Source organism: Homo sapiens, chromosome 17, assembly GCF_000001405.40.
Source record: "Homo sapiens chromosome 17, GRCh38.p14 Primary Assembly".
Taxonomy (NCBI): domain Eukaryota; kingdom Metazoa; phylum Chordata; class Mammalia; order Primates; family Hominidae; genus Homo; species Homo sapiens.
The window spans coordinates 44,298,564-44,319,223 of NC_000017.11; the positions used below are offsets into that span (position 1 = coordinate 44,298,564).

The 20,660-nt window shown below is 53.3% G+C and overlaps 1 protein-coding gene, 1 long non-coding RNA gene and 2 pseudogenes across 12 annotated transcripts, besides 1 other annotated feature; 3 read left to right on the forward strand and 1 right to left on the reverse strand.

Moving 5' to 3' along the window:
- Nucleotides 1-1,010: 1,010 nt before the first annotated feature.
- RUNDC3A-AS1 (RUNDC3A antisense RNA 1) lies at nucleotides 1,011-9,868 on the reverse strand. The gene is made up of 4 exons (NR_110802.1): nucleotides 9,694-9,868; nucleotides 8,729-8,937; nucleotides 6,418-6,480; nucleotides 1,011-5,644 (listed from the first exon to the last, which is right to left on the reverse strand). It is a non-coding gene; the product is annotated as an RUNDC3A antisense RNA 1 (long non-coding RNA).
- LOC124904153 (uncharacterized) lies at nucleotides 5,435-5,640 on the forward strand (annotated as a pseudogene).
- On the forward strand, nucleotides 8,525-8,609 carry RNU6-453P (RNA, U6 small nuclear 453, pseudogene; annotated as a pseudogene).
- Nucleotides 9,837-10,096: a silencer, noted in NCBI's record as "silent region_8587". NCBI's record gives its function as "represses an Ori minimal core promoter by ATAC-STARR-seq in GM12878 lymphoblastoid cells {active_cell/tissue: GM12878}" and the evidence as "EXISTENCE:reporter gene assay evidence [ECO:0000049][PMID:35858748]".
- RUNDC3A (RUN domain containing 3A) lies at nucleotides 10,038-20,107 on the forward strand. 11 transcript variants are annotated; one of them, XM_017024035.2, is made up of 12 exons: nucleotides 10,038-10,376; nucleotides 14,017-14,132; nucleotides 14,541-14,689; nucleotides 14,855-14,940; nucleotides 16,172-16,261; nucleotides 16,366-16,446; nucleotides 16,592-16,757; nucleotides 16,889-17,046; nucleotides 17,822-17,959; nucleotides 18,056-18,162; nucleotides 18,477-18,560; nucleotides 19,533-20,107. In XM_017024035.2, the coding sequence occupies exons 1-12, from the start codon at nucleotides 10,270-10,272 to the stop codon at nucleotides 19,673-19,675; spliced, it is 1,425 nt and encodes a 474-aa protein (XP_016879524.1). In that variant the 5' UTR covers nucleotides 10,038-10,269; the 3' UTR covers nucleotides 19,676-20,107. The 11 variants fall into 11 exon arrangements, with proteins under 11 accessions (XP_016879524.1, XP_016879525.1, XP_016879526.1 ...); XM_017024036.3 differs by having other exon boundaries at nucleotides 14,553-14,689; XM_017024037.2 differs by having other exon boundaries at nucleotides 14,556-14,689.
- The last annotated feature ends 553 nt before the right edge of the window (nucleotides 20,108-20,660 follow it).

Genomic DNA, 20,660 nt, shown 5'->3' on the forward strand with positions numbered 1-20,660 from the left:
ATGCTGCCATAGAGGTCTTCTGGTTTTTGTTTTGTTTTAAGATAGGGTCTTGCTCTGTCGCCCAGGCTGGAATGCAATGGCACAATCATGGCTCACTGCAGCCTCAACCTCCTGGGCTCAAGTGATCCTCCCACCTCAGCCTTCTGAATAGCTGGGAACACAGGTGCTCACCACCATACCCAGATAATTTATTTTTTGTAGAGACAGGGTATTCCTATGTTGCTGGGGCTTGTCTCGAACTCCTGGGCTCAAGTGATCCTCCCAAAGTGCTGGGATTACAGGTGTGAGCCCGGCTTCTTCTAGCTTTTAACTATATCATAAATTGATAGCTGGCTGATGTGAGTCTGTCTTTTATTCTTTTAACCCTTTGATGGCATTAACAGCAACCAAACAACTCCTTTTTTTTTTTTTTTTGATGACAGAGTGAGACTCTGTCATCCAGGCAGGAGTGCAGTGGCGCAATCTCAGCTCACTGCAGCCTCTGCCTTGTGGCTTCAAGTGATTCTCGTGCCTCAGCTTCCCTAGTAGCTGAGATTACAGGTGCCTGCCACCACACCCAGCTAATTTTTGTATTTTTAGTAGAGACAGGGTTTGCCATGTTGGCCAGGCTGGTCACGAACTCCTGACCTCAAGTCATTCACCCGCCTTGGCCTCCCAAACTGCTGGGATTACAGGCATGAACCACTGAGCCCAGTCTCCACAGTCCTTATAATTACCATTTTCCTCTTACACCTCAAATACTAGAGCTATTGCATAGGCAGTGCATCCCTGTCTGCATCCCATTTCACCAGGGTGACAGTCTGACGATCAGTCCAGTTCTCCAGTGGGTATTAGTACCCCACTTACCTCAGCAATGGAATCTTTGGGCCATCTGGATGATGAGTGATCCAAAACCAGAATCTTATCCTGGGGGTCTACTTCCTAGGACAACTTTGGATATCAAATGTGTTGGTTTGGGTTCCCTCCAGAAGTAGAACCTGAGTCAAGGATTCAAAGGAAAGTATTTATTTGAGAAACACAAGTGTTTATTTGAAAAGCGATGCTAGGAATACCAAGCAAGCCAGTGGGAGACTGACATTGGAAAGAAAGGAGGCTCATAAAGGGTGTGTTATCAAGCAAGTTAAAAACATGGACAACCGGCCGGGTGCGGTGGCTCACACCTGTAATCCCAGCACTTTGGGAGGCCAAGGCAGGTGGATCACCTGAGGTCGGGAGTTCGAGACCAGCCTAACCGACATAGAGAAACCCCGTTTCTACTAAAAATACAAAATTAGCCGAGCGTGGTGGCACATGGCTATAATCCCAGCTACTTGGGAGGCTGAGGCAGGGGAATTGCTTGAACCCAGGAGGCGGAGGTTGCAGTGAGCCAAGATTGCACCATTGCACTCCAGCCTGGGCAACAAGAGTGAGACTCTGTCTCAAAAACAAACAAAACAACAACAACAAAACAAACAAACAAACAAACAAAACACGTGGACAACCAGAGCTTAATCCTAAGAAGGAACTCAGGGAGCCAGTCATAATGTTTGCTGCAGGACCTGAGGGATGAGGAAGCTGGCTATTTACGCACCGATCCCCATCGGTGATTGGCTGAAGGTTGCTGTGGCTGGGAGTATAATTCCCCAGAACTTTCAGCCTGCTCAGCAGGCTCCAGTGGCCAGAGAGAGTCCTTAGATAAAGAGCTGCAGGTTCTGGCAGCTGGAAGTTCATCCAGTGAACCCAAGAGCTTCAGGAACATGGGAGGGCACTGCCAGCATCTGCCACACTAAGGGAGGAATCCTTTCACGAGGAGATACTGCAATGGTTCCACTACCTGGAAGATAAGGCTCTCACCTGAGCTCAGGGCAAAAAAGGGGTTACCTTCTGGGATGACTGATCCCAAATGCCAAGGGTAAGCTGGGTTCTAACTCCAAAAGAAAGGCAGGGAGGACTATGTCTGGAACCCAGGGGACTCCCTGGTGTGCCATGTCCTATTTCCGTGTCCAATAGTAAAAGTTAAAAAAAAAAGAGCAATACAGTTCTGAGGATTCCAATTTGTAGAATGCTAATTTCAAGAATAAAGGTTTATTCTTGAAACCTTTATTTTAAGAATAAAGGTTTGGGGGCCGGGCGTGGTGGCTCATGCCTGTAATCCCAGCATTTTGGGAGGCCAAGATGGGCGGATCACCAGGTCAGGGGTTTGAGACCAGCCTGGCCAAGAGACCAGCCTGGCCAATATGGTGCAACCTTCTCTCTACTAAAAATACAAAAATTAGCCGGGCATGGTCGTGGGCGCCTGTAAATCCAGCTACTCAGGAGGCTGAGGCAGGAGAATTGCTTGAACCCGGGAGACGGAGGTTGCATTGAGCTGAGATCGCGCCACTGCACTCCAGCCTGGGTGACAGAGCGAGACTCCGTCTCAAAAAAAAAAACAACAATAATAATAATAACAATAATAAAAATAAAGAATACAGATTTGGGGCCAGGCACGGTGGCTCACGCCTGTAATCCCAGCACTTTGGGAGGCAAGGTGGGTGGGGATCACTTGAGGTCAGGAGTTCGAGACCAGTCTGGCCAAAATGGTGAAACCCTGTCTCTACTAAAAAAAATACAAAAATTAGCCAGGTGTGGTGGTTGGTGGGCACCCGTATTCCCAGCTACTCTGGAGGCTGAGGCACGAGAATCCCTTGAACCCTTCAAGGGTAATGGAAGAGGAAAGTTATAATATCAGCTTCTGACCAGATATAGAAGCAAGGATTGTAGAAGCCATGGGCATGTTTTCTCTTGCTTGTTTTGTTATATACACTCTTTAAATATTGGTTAACTTTCCTCTCCTTCTTTTCTCTTATTTTTTATGAGGATTGTTGTTGGTGATGACCTTCATAATTTAGGTTGCAGAATACTCTAGAGGACATGTGGCTGAACTAGGAGAATTCACATCACACGGAAAGGGATCCCATTGCTGTAGAGACTTTGCGTCTCTGCTTTTGGGGGAGGGCCCCAGAGCATCTTCATTTGAGCAAAGGACAGTTGCATCTATTAGGCAAAGGGATGAAGCTGTTATTATTCAAATATGATGGATAGATGTGTAACTACTGCATAGAAAAAAGGGGTAGATAATGCCAGTTATTTGCTTATTGACTTTCAGCTTCAAATTCATTCTTATTTTCTCTGCTCTCTGATGTTGGAAGGGGGCTGGGACTCTGCAAACCAGTTCCCTAGCCTCCATTACTGTCCTGTTAGGTTCTGCTTGTAGGCGGTGCACACATGGGTGATAAAAATATAAAGAAAAGCAAGGAAATGATTATCACAAAAGTTGAAATATGAACAAGGAATAAAGCTGGAGGACTTATACTTCCTGATTTTAAAACTCACTGCAAAGCTACATTCATCAAAATAGAGTGGTATTGGCATAGAGACAGACGTATAGACCAATGAAATAGAACAGAGGCCCTCATGTAAACTCTTACACACATGAGCAAGTGATTTCTTTTCTTTTTTTTTTTGAGACGGGGTCTCGCTCTGTCACCCAGGCTGGAGTGAAGTGATACAATTTCAGCTCACTCCAATCTCTGCCTCCTGGACTCAAGCGATCCTCCCACCTCAGCTTCCTGAGTAGCTGGGACCACAGGTGTAAGCCACCATGCCTGCCTAATTTTTTTGTATTTTGGGTAGAGATGGGGTTTCACCACGTTGCCCAGGCTGGTCTCGAACTCCTGAGTTCAAGTGATCCGCCCACTTAGGCCTCTCAAAGTGCTGGATTACAGGCGTGAACCACTGTGCCTGGTCTGCAAGTGATTTCTTATTTTTTTTATTTATCTAATTTTTTTAGAGATATGGTCTTGCTATGTTACCCAGGATGGACTCGAATTCCTGGGCTCAAGTGATCTTCCCACCTCACCCTCCTGAGTAGCTCGGATTATAAGTATGTACCATCACACCTGGCCTATGATCAAATGATTTTTTTTTTTTTTGACATAGGGTCTTGCTCTGTTGTCTAGGCTGCAGTGCTGTGGTGCAATGCAGTCTTAAACTTGATCAGACCAGGTGCGGTGGCTCATGCCTGTAATCCCAGCACATTGGGAGGCTGAGGCGGGTGGATCACCTGAGGTCAGGAGTTCGAGACCAGCCTGGCCAACATGGTGAAACCCCGTCTCTGTTAAAAATAAAAAAGTTAGCCGGGCGTGGTGGTGCACACCTGTAATCTCAGCTACTTGGGAGGCTGAGGCAAGAGAATCTGGAAGGTGGAGGTTGCAATGAGCCGAGATCATGCCACTGCACTCCAGCCTGATTTTTGACAAGAATGCCAAGACCATTTAATGGGGAAAGGACAGGTTTTTGTTTGTTTGATTTTTGTTTTTTAAACAAATAGTGCTGGAAAAAACGGATATCCACATGTAAGAGAATAAAGTTGGACTCTTACCTAACACTATCGACAAAAATTAACTCAAAATGGATCAAATACCTAAATGTAAGACCTAAACTTTTAAAACTCTTAGAAGAAAACATATGGCAAAAGCTTCCCAACACTGGATTTGGCAATAATTTTTTTGGATCTGACACCAAAGATGGGGGCAACAATAACAACAAAATAGACAAATTAGCTTTGATGAAAACTTAAGAACTTTGTGCATCAAAAAACCAATATCAACAAATTCAAAAGGTAATTGGCAGAATGGGAGAAAATATTTGCAAGTTATATATCTGATAAGGAATTGATATCCAGGATATAGAGGCAGCTCCTAAAAAACTCAACACCAACAACAAAAACCAAGCAACCCAAAAATGAACAAAGGACTTGAATAGGTATCGCTCCAAAAAAAAAAAAAAAAAAAGAAAACAAATAGCCAGTAAACACATGAAAAGGTGCTCAACATCACTAATCGTTAGCAAAATGCAAATAAAAACTACAACAAAAGAGTGTACTTTCAGGGATCATTTCCCTTTTTCTGTTTCTTGAGATGGAGCCTCATTCTGTTGCCCAAACTGGAGTGCAGTGGCGCGATCTCGGCTCACTGCAACCTCTGTCTCCTGGGATTCAAGTGATTCTCCCACCTCGGCCTTCTGAGTAGCTGGGATTATAGGCATCCACCACCATGCCTTGCTCATTTTTGTATTTTTAGTAGAGACGGGGTTTCACCATGTTGGCCAGGCTGGTCTCGAACTCCTGATCTCAAGTGATCCACCTGCCTCGGCCTTCCAAAGTGCGGGGATTACAGGTGTGAACCACCGTCCCCAGCCCGTTTCTCTCTGTCTTTTTTTTTTTTTTGAAACAGGCTTTCGCTTTGTCACTGAGGCTGAAGTACAGTGGCGTGATCATGGCGCACTGCAGTCTCAACCTCCGGGGCTCAAGTGATCTTCCCATCTCAGCCTTCCAAGTAGCTGGGGAATCCAGGTGCACACCACTACGCCTGGCTAATTTTTGTATTTTTTGTAGAGATGGGGTCTCTCCCATGGGCACAGTCTCATTGTTTCTATAGTTTATTACCAGAAAAGTTTCTCAGAATGTGTAGAGCACTGGAAACCATGAGGAAGAGGCATAGCGTTCTCTCTTGAGCATCAAGTTGGCTGTTGGTGTTGCTTTGCTGCAAACGCCATTTGTCATTGTCTTCCTTGTCTTCCTTTAGGAGAGTAAGAGGGAGAGGACACAGTCTGGGTAGTTTCCCTGAAAAAAAGAAAAAAGAAAAGAAAACTACAATGAGATACCACCTCACACTTGTTCACACTTGTTGGGATGGTTACCATCAAACAAGCAAACAGGAAATAACAAGTGTTGGCAAGGATGTAGAGAAATTACACCCTTGTGGCCGGGCGTGGTGGCTCACGCCTGTAATCCCAGCACTTTGGGAGGTCGAGCTGGGCAGATCACGAGGTCAGGAGATCGAGACCATCCTGGCTAACACAGTGAAACCCTGTCTCTACTAAAAATACAAGAAAATAGCCAGGCATGGTGGCGGGTGCCTCTAGTCCCAGCTACTCAGGAGGCTGAGGCAGGAGAATGGTGTGAACCCGGGAGGCGGAGCTTGCAGTGAGCTGAGATCGCGCCACTGCACTGCAGCCTGGGAGACAGCGAGACTCCGTCTCAAAAAAAAAAAAAAAAAAAGAGAAATTGGACCCTTGTGCACTGTTGGCAGGAATGTAAAAGGGTGCAGCCATATGGAAAACAGGATGGCAGCTTCTCAAAAAATTAAAAACAAAATTGCCATGTAATCCAGCAATTCCACTTCTGGGTATATACCCCAAAGAATTGAAAACAAGGTCTCAAAGAGATATTTGTACACCCATGTGCATAGCAGCATTACTCATAATTGGTAACATGTGTAAACAATACAAGTGTCCATGGATGGATGAATGGATAAGTGTCTTAGTTGCTTTGTGCTGCTCTAACAGAATATGTGAGACTGGGTAATTTATGAAGAACAGAGATTTGTCTCTTACAGTTCTGGAGGCTAGCTGGGAAGTCCAAGATGGAGGGGCCCACATCTGGCAAGGGCCTTCTTGCTGCATCATCCAATGGTGGTAGGTGGAAAGGCAAGAGAGCATGAGGGAGAGAGAAAGGGGCCTGATCCTCAACCTCTTATCAGGAACCCACTATCAAAACAACAGCATTAATCCATTCATGAGGGCAGAGCTCTTGTGATCTAATCATTTCTTGAAGGTCCCACCTTTCAACACCAGTGAATTGGGGACTAAGTTTCTTATACATGGCCACGTGTGGTAGCTCATATCTGTAATCCCAACACTTTGGGAGGCTGAGGAGGAAGGATCACTTGTGCCCAGGAATTCAAGGCCAGCCTGGGCAACATAGTGAGACTTCATCTCTACAAAATAAATTAATAAATAATAAACTAATAAAAATAAAAATTAGCCAGACATGGTAGCAAGTGCCTGTAGTTCCAGCTGCTTAGGAGGTTGAGGTGGGAGGATCACTTGAGCCTAGGAGGTTGAAGGTGCAGTGAGCTATGATTGCACCACTGCTCTCTAGCGTGGGCAAGAGAGTGAGATCTTGTCTCAAAAAGTAAGAAAGAAGGCTGGGCATGAAGACTTACGCCTGTAATCGCAGCATTTTGGGAGGCCAAGGCAGGTGGACTGCTTGAGGCCAGGAGTTCAAGACCAGCCTGGCCAACATAGCAAAACTCCATCTCTACTAAAAATACAAAATTTAGCCATGCATGGTGGTGTGCACCTCTAATCCCAGCTACTCGTGATGCTGAGGCACAAGAATCACTTCAACCTGGGAGGCAGAGGCTGCAGTGAGCCAAGATCATGCCACTGCACTCCAGCCTGGGCAACAGAGCAAGACTTTGTCCCCCCCCACCAAAAAAAAGAAAAAAAGTTTCCAACACATGAACTTCGGGGGACACATTCAAGCCATAGCAATAAGCAAAATGTTGCATATTCCTACAAAAGAATATTAGTCTGCCTTTAAAAGGAGAGAAATTCTGCAATGTGTTACAATATGGATGAGCTTTTTTCTTTTCTTTCTATTTTTTTTTTTTTTTTGAGACAGAGTTTCACTCTTGCCCAGGCTTCAGTGCAATGGCACAATCTCACTTCACTGCAACCTCCGCCTCCTGGGTTCAAGCGATTCTCCCGCCTCAGCCTCCTGAGTAGCTGGGATTACAAGCGTGTGCCACCATGCCTGGCGAATTTTTGTATTGTTAGTAGAGACGGGGTTTCACCACTTTGGCCAGGCTGGTCTTGAACTCCTGACCTCGGGTGATCCGCCCACCTCAGCCTCCCAAAGTGCTGGGATTACAGGCGTGAGCCACTGTGGCCAGCAACATAGATGAACTTTAAGGACTTTAGGCTAAGCAAAATAAGCCAGTCACATAAAAAATAAGCACTATATGATTCCACTTATATGAAGTACTTAGAGTAGTCAAAATCATAGAACCAGAAAGTAGACTAGTAGTTGCCAGGGGTGAGGGGAGTGGGGAATGGGGAATTATTGTTTAATGGATAGTTTCAGTTTTTCAAGATGAAGAGTTAAGAAGTTGGACGGTGGTGATGACTGCAAAAAACTATGAATGTACTTAGTACTACTCCATTGTACACTTAAGAATGGTTAAGATAGGCCGGGCGTGGTGGCTCACGCCTGTAATCCCAGCACTTTGGGAGGCCAAGGCAGGTGGATCACCTGAGGTCGGGAGTTTGAGACCAGCCTGACTGACATGGTGAAACCCTGTCTTTAGTAAAAATACAAAAATTAACCAGGCGTGGTGGTGCATGCCTGTAATCCCAGCTACTTGGGAGGCTGAGGCAGGAGAATCACTTGAACCCGACAGGTGGAGGTTGTAGTGAGCCGAGATCACTCTGGCCTGGACGACAGAGTGAGACTCTGTCTCAAAAACAACAACAACAACAACAACAACAACAAAATAAACCCCAAAAGAACATCATGTGCCCTCATTTGGAGAAAGAGCAAAAAAACCCATCATGACTGCCCCTGGCAAACTGGAGGCAGGAGAATGGTAAGAGGGACTTCTACACGTGAGGCAAGAGCAAGATGATGGAGGAGGGACTGAAAAGACCAAGGTTATACTAACATCGGAATGTGTTAATATGCTAAAAAATTGGAAAGATACAGAGAAGATTAGCATGGCCACTGTGCAAGGATGACACACAAAAAATAATTGAAAAAAAAAAGTAAAAAATAAAAAGACCAAGGTTGAGGTCCCAGAAGCCAAGAATTGAGGCTGAGGCTGCGTAAATGTAAGATCCCATGCTAGGAGTCAGGATCTCTCACCAGTCTCCAGGGTGTCAGACAAGGCTCTTTCATCTCCTCTTCCTCCACCTGTGGTGACAGAGGGTCCCTGCCTGCTGACCATTTTCAGATGTGGGTGCAAATCTGAATCAATGTAGAGACATCAGCAATCCACTGGCAGAGCATCAGGTGAATTGAGCAGGTAGGCAGAGTTGGAGAATAGGTGTGAGTGAGTCCTGGGAGGGATGTTCCTAAGGGCAGATGGAGAAATTGGGTAGAGGCCCTTTAATAAACACAGAAAGGCTTTATGTAGGAGTTGCGGATTCCAGCAGGTGAAGGGGAACCCTCCCCCCACCCCGCCCCGAAAATCCTGGAACAGGTTGAATAGAGGAACGGAGCAGGTGGGAGCAGGGACGTGAGAGGAATAGGAGGCCAAGGGCGGTGGGAAACCAGACTATGCCTTCATTTCCCCCCACCCCCGGGGAGAAGCTGCAACCAGTTTTACAGGACACTCCTGGCCTTGCCCGAGATCAATGACCCCATTCAGAGAGGGTTGATGGCACAACGCGGCAATGCCGGCAGCCAAGGGGTTAACCTTAGGCCAGCTGGCTCTGGGGTGGTGCGAGGGGGTGGGCCGCCACCCCCTCCGGTTGCCTTGGCACCATTGTAGGCGCCTGCTCTGCTGCTGGGAACCTCCGCAGAGCCCAAGGCCCTTCGTTGCCAGTCTGCTCCCCACTCTCTGTCCCAAGTGGTTCCAGGCGCTGAGCCCTTAGGCTTCGTCTGGATTCCCATCCTCCACCCCAGGAGAGGTTGGCTCGGCCTGGCTGGTGCAGGCGGGTCCAGCCCAGGCACAGACATGCAGATGCGCAGTCTCTAGGGCTGCTCCTTAGCCTCCTGGGTTAGCAGCCGGGAGCCATCTGCGCTTTCTCGCCGAGAAAGCCGAGGCTGAACGGATAGGGGGCAGGGAGGGGACGGGGGTGGGGGGTGGGGGTCCCGGAGGTGAAGACCTCCTTTCCCCTGGCGGCAGGGGGAGATCAGAGACACCACGGAGCACAGGTCAGAAACAAGGGAGTAGAGAGGTCGGAGCCAGAGACTCGAGGCGAGGCGAGGCGAGGAGGAGCGAGGAGTCTCGGGCCCAGAGTGTGGGGGTGGAGGGCAGGCCCCCTGCTCCTCCTTCCAATCTCTGCTTCTCCCGGGTACCCCCTCCGCCCTCCGTGGGGCCCGGGCTCTGCCCCTCCCCTCAGACCCTGCACCCTCTGCGGATTGGTCCTCGGCCTGCTGGGGGGCGGGGCCCGAGGGCCCTGACGTCACTGGCCGAGGGGGGCGGGCGGCTGGAGGAGGGGGTGACGGGGCCCCGGCTCAGCACCTCGGAGAGCTCCCTCCCCGGCCTTGTTTTGCTCTGGCATCGCCGCCGGGGGAGGGAGCGAGGGGGCCGGGCACCGGGCGCAAAGGCAGGGGGATGGCCATGGAAGGGTTGAGGGGCCCCGTCGGACAGAGGGCCCAGCCGTGATCCAGCGACGGGTTTGGGGCTCCGGGAGGGGTGGGGGGGCAGCGGGCGGCGGCAGCAGTGGCCGCACATCTGGATGGAAGCGAGCTTTGTCCAGACCACCATGGCTCTGGGGCTGTCCTCCAAGAAAGCGTCCTCTCGCAACGTGGCTGTGGAGCGTAAGAACCTGATCACCGTGTGCAGGTGGGCACCGCTAGTGGGCGGGGGCTGGGGTGGTGAGGGAGAGGGGTTGGGGTGGACTGCGGAAACCCGGACTGAGCGCTGCCGCGGAGAAAAGGGAGGGGAGAAAAGGGTCGAGAATAATGCGTCCACTGTCCCTCCCAGGCCCAGAACCCAGAGGGAGGCTGCAGTCTGGTCCCTACCCTTCTAGGCCAAGCCAAGCCTATGCCCGGGCCTGGGCCTGGGGGGTGAGGGGTGTTTAATTGGTACTGTAGCTTCCTGTGAGAACCAGGAAGTGACACTGTGTGAGGGGGAAGGGGGTGGGGATGGCTGGCTCCCTTGCTGGGAATGGGGCAGGATGGACAGAGGGGACCCCGTGGGGGGATGAATGCCCTCCAAGCATACCCTCATTGACACCCATGTCAAACTGACCTCTCTGGGGTGGGGTTCTCCAATGCTCAGATTCTGGAGCAGGGATGGGCAGGGTCAATTGGGCATGGGGTCAGAGCCCATGAATCCTTCCAGGGAAGGGTGAGGGGCACCACCCAAGACGTGGGAAGGACCAAGAGCCTGGGTTCCAGGTTCAAGGGGAGAAGATCGGGAGGACAGGGCCACTGGTCTCTGAGGGTGGAACGGTTGCAGGGTTGGGAAGATTCTCCGTGATTGCGGGGCCCAGGAAGTGATCCTGTTCACTTCAACCTGCAGTGACTCACCCTCCCTGCCCTGCCCTGTCCCAAAACCAGGGCATGGCCAGCTGCTCAGCCACTCCCCCTGCAGCCCACACCTGCACTCTCCTCTGGTGCTGGGATCCCCTGTCAGCTGCAACCTCCCCTGGCCCCCATGCCTATCAGGTGTTGCCCCCTCAGTGCAGGGTGCTCCTGGGGGCAGGGCTCACTCTTCCCTCGCCAGCCCCACCTGCCTGCCACATAGGCCTCAGCTCTGCTGAAGCCCACCTGATGCCCTGAGGCCCACTAGTGCCCACCTGATGCCCTGGCTCCTGGCTCCCATAGCTCCTTCCCGGTTCCTGGGCACGCACTCCACCACACTGCATCTGTCTCCCAGCACTAGTGCCCAGCACAGTGCTGTGCACATCAGACCTCTGCAGAAATGCCTGGAACTTTAAGGAAGGAGAGAGTGTAGCAATGGCCCAGCCCACAGTGCAGGGCACTGCCTTTACCCTCATTTCCCCCAACCCCTGCCAGTGTGTTATAAAACAAAGATTTCTGTCCTTGGGGCCAGAAGGTCCTAGGTTCAAGCTCTTACTCCATCAGCTTTAGCTGCGCCACCTTGGGGAGGTCTCTTAACCACTCTGGGCCTTGGGTGCCCCATCATCCCCATTTTAGATGTCACAGCCACACCAAAGAATGAAAATGGCACCATCCATGTAGGAGCCTAGCTCAGTGTCTGGCACACAGAAAGAGCCCTGTCCTAATGACGCTCTTCCTGTCCCTCTCTGCTGTCTACCTGCTAGGTTCCTCTTTTTCTCTTGCCTGCCAAGGTAGCTGAGCCTCTTGAGTACATGGGGGGAATGAGGGAACTCTCCTTGACATAGGCCAGAGAAGGAGAAGTTGAAGGGCTGAAGGTGGTTTAGAGCTGGGAGGGAAGGATAGAGTTTTGGGGGGTCAGGGACATAACAAAGGCTCAGTAACCCCCAGGCCCCTACTGCCTCATCACTGTCACATGGTTTGCCTCCAGCTCCCAGAACAGCTCCCTTTAGCAGGCCATGGGCTCCCCTGGGCCCTGGCCTCCCTGTCTCCATGGTAACCTGCAGCAGCCACTGCATCTCCTATCAGGGAGCACACCACAGGGCTCCCGGGGGCAATGACCACCTCTGCGGCACCCCTGAGGACAGATACCATATGGCTGCCATGCTGAACCCAGTCCAGGCCCCATCATGGTCTGACCCAGATGACCAGGGGAAATCAAGCTGGCAGGAGGGTGCGCATAGTGAAGCTGGAATAATGCCCCAAACACAGGCTGGCTCTCAGCAGGGCCAGCCTTCCCAGCCACGACCCCGCTCCTCACCATCCCTGCCCAGCGGCCCTAGGCACCTACCTTCTCCCAACCCTGCCTGGGCTCTCAACCAAAATGTAATGAGGCAGGTACGATTGTTCCCATTTGCATTTGACAAGAAGGGACTCACAGAGGGGCCCAAGGCCACGTGAGTGCCACAGGGAAACAGGATTTGAATCCAGCAGGCTGCCTCCCTCTAGTGCAACCCCAAGACTGACCTGGCTCTGATCTCAAGGCAGTTCAACTCCAAGTTCAAAAGGAAGGGGGACGAGGGCTCAGCTGTGCAATTGGCCTGAGAGCCTCAGAGGTCAGTGGTCCAAGGCTGGAGACTTGCAGAGTAGAGGACAAAGGGCGGTGGAGCAGGGGCTGCTCCAGGCCTTGGTCATCACAACAGCTGCCAGGAGGCCACAGATGTAGCAGAAAGAGCAGAAGCTTCAGAATCAGAATCAGACATACCTGCTTGACTACTCATAAGCCATGTGACTCCGAACAGATCAGTCAACCTCTTGGACCATCAATTTCTTTACCTGTAAAATGGGGATGAGAGTAATACTAAGAGGACCTACCTTTCAGGGCTGAGCATGGGTAAGGGAATGCATGCAAAGTACTGTGCTTGCCACATTATAGGGCTTGATAAATATAAGAAGAAAAGGACATTTCCAAGCAGCTCCCATTTCCCTGGACACCCCGCCCCTGCTCTGCCACCCACAGCAGGGAAATCATGGGATGTTAGGAACTGTGTCCTCATCCCTGCCCTACTCCATTGCAGGGATGGCAGGGGGAGATTGCAGGGGTAGTGACTGCAGAGGGAGCCTGAGGCTTAGACAGGACTGGAGAGGGGGCACTGCATGGCTTCAGTCCTTCAGCCCCACAGGCTTCCCTTAGTCCCTTCCTCCCAAAGAAGCCAGGCCCCCAAGCCCCTTCCAGGGATCTGCTGCCAATGCCCCCTCCTGCCCAGTGTCTGTGTCAGGCCCATACCCCGCACCTCCCCACCCCACCCCCGCCCAGCTCTGCACTGCCTGGTTCTGGGCAGCTGGTGTGTGGGAGGCCAAGCCGGGAAGGAAAGGGGGGAAGGGGGTATCTGTGTACTGGGAGCCCACCTGGCCACCTGCGCATGCCCACACTCCATGTGCACAGTGCCAACTCACATGCCCTGGTACAGGTGACCCCCATCCCCAAAAGGGACTGAAGGTTGCTCCAGCAATCACAGAAGACAGCTCAGGTGGGGCACACACTGGCTTCTAACACCTAGTTGACCCAGGCCTCGCACACACAGACCCTGAAGGGTGGTCTATGGGGAAGGGGCTCCTGGACCGCCCCCGGCTTGTGCCTCATCTTCCTATTTTTTCAGTCCCTCTCACCCCTTGCTCCCGAAGCTTCCTTTCTCTGGCTGTCACCTCTCCTGTCACCCACTTTGTCAATCAGTCTCCCACCTGTCACCCTTCCTCCCCATCTGCCACCCTCTCACTCCACATGACACGGTACCTCTATGGTCACTGTAGTCTTGCCTGTCTCCCCACTCGCTCTGCCCCCCACCACATCCATGCCCTTCCTGACCTTTCTTCTCTGCCGGTTGCTCCCTGTCTCTCCCTCCATCACCTGTTTCCTCACCTGACACCCCACTGCCCCATCTCCCCACCTCGCCGCCCAGGTTCTCTGTGAAAACGCTGCTGGAGAAGTACACAGCGGAGCCCATCGATGACTCATCGGAGGAGTTTGTCAATTTTGCAGCCATTTTAGAGCAGATCCTCAGCCACCGCTTCAAAGGTGGGCCCAGCGCCCCTCCCCCAGCGGTCCCTCCCCCAGCGCCCCTCCCCCAGTGGTCCCTCCCCCAGCGCCCCTCCCCCAGCGGTCCCTCCCCAACTCCCAACCTTTAGCTCCCAGCCACCTCTTTCTGATATACTCCATGGACTCTGAACCCCCTCATTGACCCTGGCCCCCATTCTGGGCCATGCACAGAAGCTTGTGTACAGATCTGGGAAGAGGGAGAGGCCTTTGGCCTACAATCCCCATCATGGGCAAGCGATATGCTGGGGTGCCCACTGCACACGTGCATGTGTGTGCACAGATCTTTGTGGGAGGAGGCTGCTTATGCTTATGCATGTGAGTGCCTCACTACATGGACCCTCTCCAAACTCCCTGGTCTTGCTGAGCCCCCTCCCTGCCCTGGCTCAGCCTGTGCCCCAGCAGGTCCAGTGAGCTGGTTCAGCTCAGACGGGCAGCGGGGCTTTTGGGACTATATCCGGCTGGCCTGCAGCAAAGTGCCCAACAACTGTGTGAGCAGCATCGAGAACATGGAGAACATCAGCACAGCCCGGGCCAAGGTGAGGGGCCTGAAGCAAGCAACTGCTCTCTGCTCTGGACACAGGGGGCCTGCCTGTTTCTTGGTTTTTGCCCCCTGTGCACAGCCCAGGGGAGAAGGGCCCACACCTGATGCTGGACACATGAGTCCCTCTGGGGCAGCAAGTAAAGGTGAACATGATTTCCAGGGCCGGGCATGGATCCGGGTGGCACTGATGGAGAAGCGCATGTCAGAATACATCACCACGGCTCTGCGTGACACCCGGACCACCAGGTCAGACTTCCCAGGCAACTCAGACCACAGGTCTCAGAGTGCACCTGCATTGCCCAAACACAGCTGATCCTTAAGTTCCTGCAGCATCCTTCAGTTCCTGGACTACAAGTCCCAGCACCAGCACACATGGCTGATTTCCCTCTTCCAGCCTGGCCTGCAGTCCCAGGACGAACTCTTTTTTTTTTTTTTTTTTTTGAGAAGGAGTTTCGCTCTTGTTGCCCAGGCTGGAGTGCGATGGCGCGATCTCGGCTCACTGCAACCTCCGCCTCCTGGGTTCAAGCGATTCTCCTGCCTCAGCCTCCTGAGTAGCTGGGATTACAGGCATACGCCACCATGCCCAGCTAATTTTGTATTTTTAGTTTCTCCATGTTGGTCAGGCTGGTCTCAAACTCCCAACCTCAGGTGATCCTCCCGCCTTGGCCTCCCAAAGTGCTGGGATTACAGGCATGAGCCACCGCTCCTGGCCCCAGGACAAACTTTTACCACCACCACCACCACCACTTGCAAGTCAAATCTAATGCCCATTATTTGCCATCAATGCCCAGCACGCTCCACCCTTGCACACCTCTGGATGAGCCTCAGCCATGCACCATCTCAAGTGTTGGCTTGCTCCATGATCTACAACACAGCCCTTCTGTCTCTCCAAACAACGAAAGCAGTTCTGTACTTGCTATTCACGGACACAGAGTCCTTATATGGGGAGTTCAATCCCTGCACTGTGGGTTCACAGGGAGGTTGGGTGCCTGAGGCAAGGGGTTACAAGGAGGAGTGTGCCTGTGTGGGCAGGTGCATCTGAAGCTGTCTGGGTGTGGCGGGGGGCATATACCTCCCCATCCCAATTGGCCATACCCAGCCTGATGTTTTTACTGAATTCCATTCCTCAGTCTACACGTTTCAAGTTAACACGTTTTTTGCGCACCTACTGTATACCAAGCACTAATGATTAAGACTTGCTTCCTGATATGAAGGATCTGGGTAACCCAGTACTTGATGAGGAAGGGGTAGCTCAGAGGGAGGAGTCGGCTCAGGGAACACCCATTCTAGGTGATGGGGCCACAGGTGCGAGCCCCAGGCTGAAGGGGGAGAGAGGCTCCAGGCCTGCGTGCAGATCAGGAAGGAGAATTGGCCTTCCTTCAGGATGGGGTGGCAGTAAGCCAACAATAGCAGCTCTGGGGGGGGGGGGGGCGCTCCAGGGGCCTGCTGCATCCTCTGGCCCTCTGCCTCCCCACAGACGGTTCTATGACTCTGGAGCCATCATGCTGCGGGATGAAGCCACCATCCTCACCGGAATGCTGATCGGACTGAGCGCCATCGACTTCAGGTGGGGTCTGCCTGACGGCAGTGGTGGAGGGGGCTGTTTCCCCCATAAATGTCCTACCCCAACCCCTCACACCCACCTCCAACCCTGTGGCTCCTCTGCCTCAGCTTCTGTCTAAAGGGGGAAGTCCTGGACGGGAAGACCCCCGTGGTCATCGATTACACGCCCTACCTAAAGTTCACGCAGAGGTGAGCGGCTCCATGACTGCGGCGGGGCGGGGGACGGGGCCTCGGGACATCCTGGGGACGTCCTGGTCCCACCGCCCTCAGCGGCCAGCGCAGACGCGCGGGGGGAGGGGCGGGACCGGCCGTGCCCACTGCTCCCTCTCCCAAGCTACGACTACCTGACGGACGAGGAGGAGCGGCACAGCGCCGAGAGCAGCACGAGCGAGGACAACTCGCCCGAGCACCCGTACCTCCCGCTCGTCACCGATGAGGACAGCTGGTACAGCAAGTGGCACAAGATGGAGCAGAAGTTCCGCATCGTCTACGCGCAGAAGGTGCGCGACGCCGGCGGGCCCGGGGGGCGGGCGGGCCGGGCGGGGGATCCGGGCATCCCGGGGCGGGGCGGGGATGGGGGCCGCGGCCGGGACGTCCTCCCAGCCGCCCGGGCTGAGCCGGCGCCCCGCAGGGCTACCTGGAGGAGCTGGTGCGTCTGCGCGAGTCGCAGCTGAAGGACCTGGAGGCGGAGAACCGGCGGCTTCAGCTGCAGCTGGAGGAGGCGGCGGCGCAGAACCAGCGCGAGAAACGGGAGCTGGAAGGCGTGATCCTGGAGCTGCAGGAGCAGCTGTGAGCGCACGGCCTGCCCTAACCCCTGACCCCCGCCGCCCCGACCACATCACCGGGTGAACCCCATCTTCACTTCCATCGACTCTAACATCACCCGACACGAGCACCCACCTCTCCAGCATCAACCCTCTGATCCAGCCAGCCCCACCCCGAGATGCCCACAATGATCTTCTAACATTGCCCCCAGCATAAGATCCAGTGACTTCCAACAGCCAGAGCCCACCCTTCACCTTCAGTTATCTTCCGCTAGAGTGGCCATCCAACCTTACTGCAGGGACCCCACGTCACTCACAAGGACCTGCGGTGTTGCTCTGCAACCTTCAACACGATTGCATTCATCGCCTCACTCACCTGCACCACAGGCTCACTGACCGTCATCATCCGCCGTGACCCCCGACCTCACCCCTGCCGATCCCTGTAACACTTCTTCTCTACGCCTTTCCACCACCCTGATCTTGCGGCAAGATCCCCAAGACGATCTTACACTTCAGGGATTCCCACACTATCCTCCACTGACGTCCCCATCACCCCAGCTGACCCCAACAACACTGCACCATTCCCTCCAACTCCCAATATTTGTGCACGAATCCCTGTCACCCCTCCACCCCAGTACCACCTCCACTTCCTCCCGGGATCTGGCCCACTGACCCCAACACCGTATCCCCATTTTTGCCGCTCAGATTTCATTCCTGACCCCTCCCTCATCCCCTTGCTGAATCTCCCTTCCTCACTTCTCCTACTTCCAGCCAGGCCTGACTCCTCCTCCCCCTCCCAGGACAGGTCTGATCCCCAGTGACCACGCCCCTCTGGCCCAGGGTTCCAAGGAGCTCACTACACCCCTGGTCAATCAATGGCCCTCACTGGGAACGCTTAATGGGGCCGAGGGCGCCAGCAACTCCAAGCTCTACCGGAGGTAAGCCCCAGCCAGGTGGGGCTTGGGCCTGAGAGCGGGTCGTCCTGGGGAAGAAGGGCTTCCTCTACCGGCGCACCAGCTCTCGCTCTGCCGCAGACACAGCTTCATGAGCACGGAGCCGCTGTCAGCTGAAGCCAGTCTGAGCTCGGACTCCCAGCGCCTGGGAGAGGGCACGCGGGACGAGGAGCCCTGGGGTCCCATCGGTGAGCTCCCCCAACCCAACACCCAGTACCCCTCCAGAAAGGGCTGAGGCAAGGCCCTGAGGCCTCAAGGCATGTCCTCATTCATTCTCTTAGTCTTTTTTTTTTTTTTTTTTTTGAGACGGAGTCTCACTCTGTCATCCAAGTTGGAGTGCAGTGGCGCAATCTCAGCTCATTGCAACCTCTGCCTCCCGGGTTCAAGGGATTCCCTTGCCTCAGCCTCCCGAGTAGCTGGGATTAAAAGCGCCTGCCACCACGCGCAGCTAATTTGTGTATTTTTAGTAGAGACGCGCGGCTAATTTGTGTATTTTTAGTAGAGACGGAGTTTCGCCAGGCTGGTCTCGAACTCCTGACCTCAAGTGATTCACCCACCTTGGCCTCCCAAAGTGCTGGGATTACAGGTGTGAGCCACTGTGCCCGGCCTCTCTCAGCCTTTCTTGAGGGTTTAGCACAGCAATCGAGAGCTTACTTTGAGGTGGCAGAACACAGCATATGCAGAACCCAGCATAAATCTGGCTGTGCCTCCTCTGACCATGTGAGCTTGGTCAATCACTTTACCTCCATGAGTCTATTCTTTGTAAATGGGGATGTTGATAATCACCAATGTTGTCACATGGTGAGGGCTCAGTGGTTTTTTAGTGTCATGACATCCTCGGGGGCTCACAAACTCTCGGGGAACTCCTTAGACTAATTTGCTCTTATCTCATGCACACTGTGAACTACTTGCCTGACCATTGTTTCCCCCTTCTCTTTGGCTGCCAGGAAGCTCAGAGCCAAATTAGTGGCTCCCTTCGAGCGAATGCCCAGGACTTCAACGCATGCACTTTGTGTTGACCTCATCCCTGGCTTCACCTTGGTTTTTCCCATCCTAGTTCTCCCTATGCCTGAATATCCTGTCTTTTCTTTTTTATAAGCAACCACACTGTATTGGATGACCCTAGATCTTCTTTGAGACAAGGCAGGCTGTGGCCATGTAGCCCCATCACACTGTGTTTGTGATTGTCTGTGTGTCTGTCTCCCCCACCAGACTGTGAGCTCCATGAGGGCAGGGACCGTGTCTTGTCCGTTCTCTGTATCCCCAGTGCTTGGAACAGAGCGAGTGCTCACTGTGTATTTAATAAATGGACAAAGAGAGAGGATGACCCTCACGGGGAGACAGAGACATCAACTGACGATTACAATACAGTGTCCCCAGCACGGTGCCTGGCACAGGCAGGTGCTTAACCAAAGTTTAACTGAAAATGGCAAATGCTGTGGAATATGCCAAGGTCTCCTGGGGGGTGACTTGAGGGCTGCCCCTTCACTGCCCACCCCTCTACCAACTCCCACACATGTAGACTGGTCGCTTGGCCTCACCTGCCCTCTCTCCCCAGGGAAGGACCCCACGCCCTCCATGCTGGGCCTCTGCGGCTCCCTGGCCTCCATTCCCAGCTGCAAGTCCCTGGCGAGCTTCAAATCCAACGAGTGCCTGGTGAGCGACAGTCCCGAGGGCAGCCCAGCACTGAGCCCCAGCTGAGGAACAGCATGGGCAGTGCCAGCCCCACCTGCCAGGGGCCATGGACACCTGCCACCTTTCTTCAACAAGAGTCCCCCAATCCAGGCTACCCTTCCAGAGAACGCTACCCACCCAGCCAGGGTTCTCTCGGGGAAGATCTCGTCTGCTCACCTTAGCTTTCTGCCTTGGCAGCACGGGCTGCGGAAGAAAGCACGCTGGGCCAGGAGGCAGGGGTGCCCAAGCCACAGGGAGCCCCTGGGGAAGCCTGCTCCATTCTTCTGGTGACCTTGGCGCTCCTTCACTCATCTCCCCTGCCCCCTCAGGAACTGGTGGCCCAGCTTCCACACCCCCACCTCCCAGTCTCTAGCCTCTCCATCTGTCTGTGTATGGCCTGGAGTCACTCCTTCCTCAGCCCCCAGGGCAAGAGAGCTCAAATAAAAACCAGAGGACTGAGGGCAGCCTTGTATGTGGGGGGCTGGGGAAGGGCCCCGTCCTGAGGTCTGAAGGAAGTGGAGTCAGTGCCTGACCGAAGACCAAGGTCAGGCAGCACTAGCATGTGCCCTGTGGGGACAGGCAGGCCAGCACTCAGGGAGGGGGTAGCTTCTGTGTCCAAAATATTAGGTCTGCCTAGGGCAGGCCCAAGACATGCAACTGCCCCCCAACCCAACAGCCTTTAAGAACTTGCTCAAAACCAGGCTGAGGCGGCCGAGCACGCCAGGGGCAGGATGGAGGCACACCCTGTAGGGCCAGTGCCCTGTGCTGGCCTCAGCAATGGTGCTTTGGCCCAAAGTTGCAGACCCCTCTGTTAGGCCAGAGCCTGGCAGTTAAGCAACCCTCACTCCTCTGCTGTCGCTTAAGTGTGCCCTTAAGGAGAGGTGTTACCATCCCCCATTCTTTTTTTTTGAGATGGAGCCTCGCTCTGTTGCCAGGCTGGAGGGCAGTGGCACTATTTCAGCTCACTGCAAACTCCGCTTCCCAGGTTCAAGGGATTCTCCTGCCTCAGCCT

What these genes read in the sequence shown, in the direction of transcription:
- RUNDC3A (XM_017024035.2), top strand. Translation starts at nt 10,270, where the DNA reads ATGGAAGCGAGCTTTGTCCAGACCACCATGGCTCTGGGGCTGTCCTCC. An exon ending in GGAGCCCTGGGGTCCCATCG is followed by an intron (nt 18,163 to 18,476) that starts GTGAGCTCCCCC and finishes TATTTTTAGTAG; the next exon opens with AGACGGAGTTTCGCCAGGCT. An exon ending in CCAAAGTGCTGGGATTACAG is followed by an intron (nt 18,561 to 19,532) that starts GTGTGAGCCACT and finishes CTCTCTCCCCAG; the next exon opens with GGAAGGACCCCACGCCCTCC.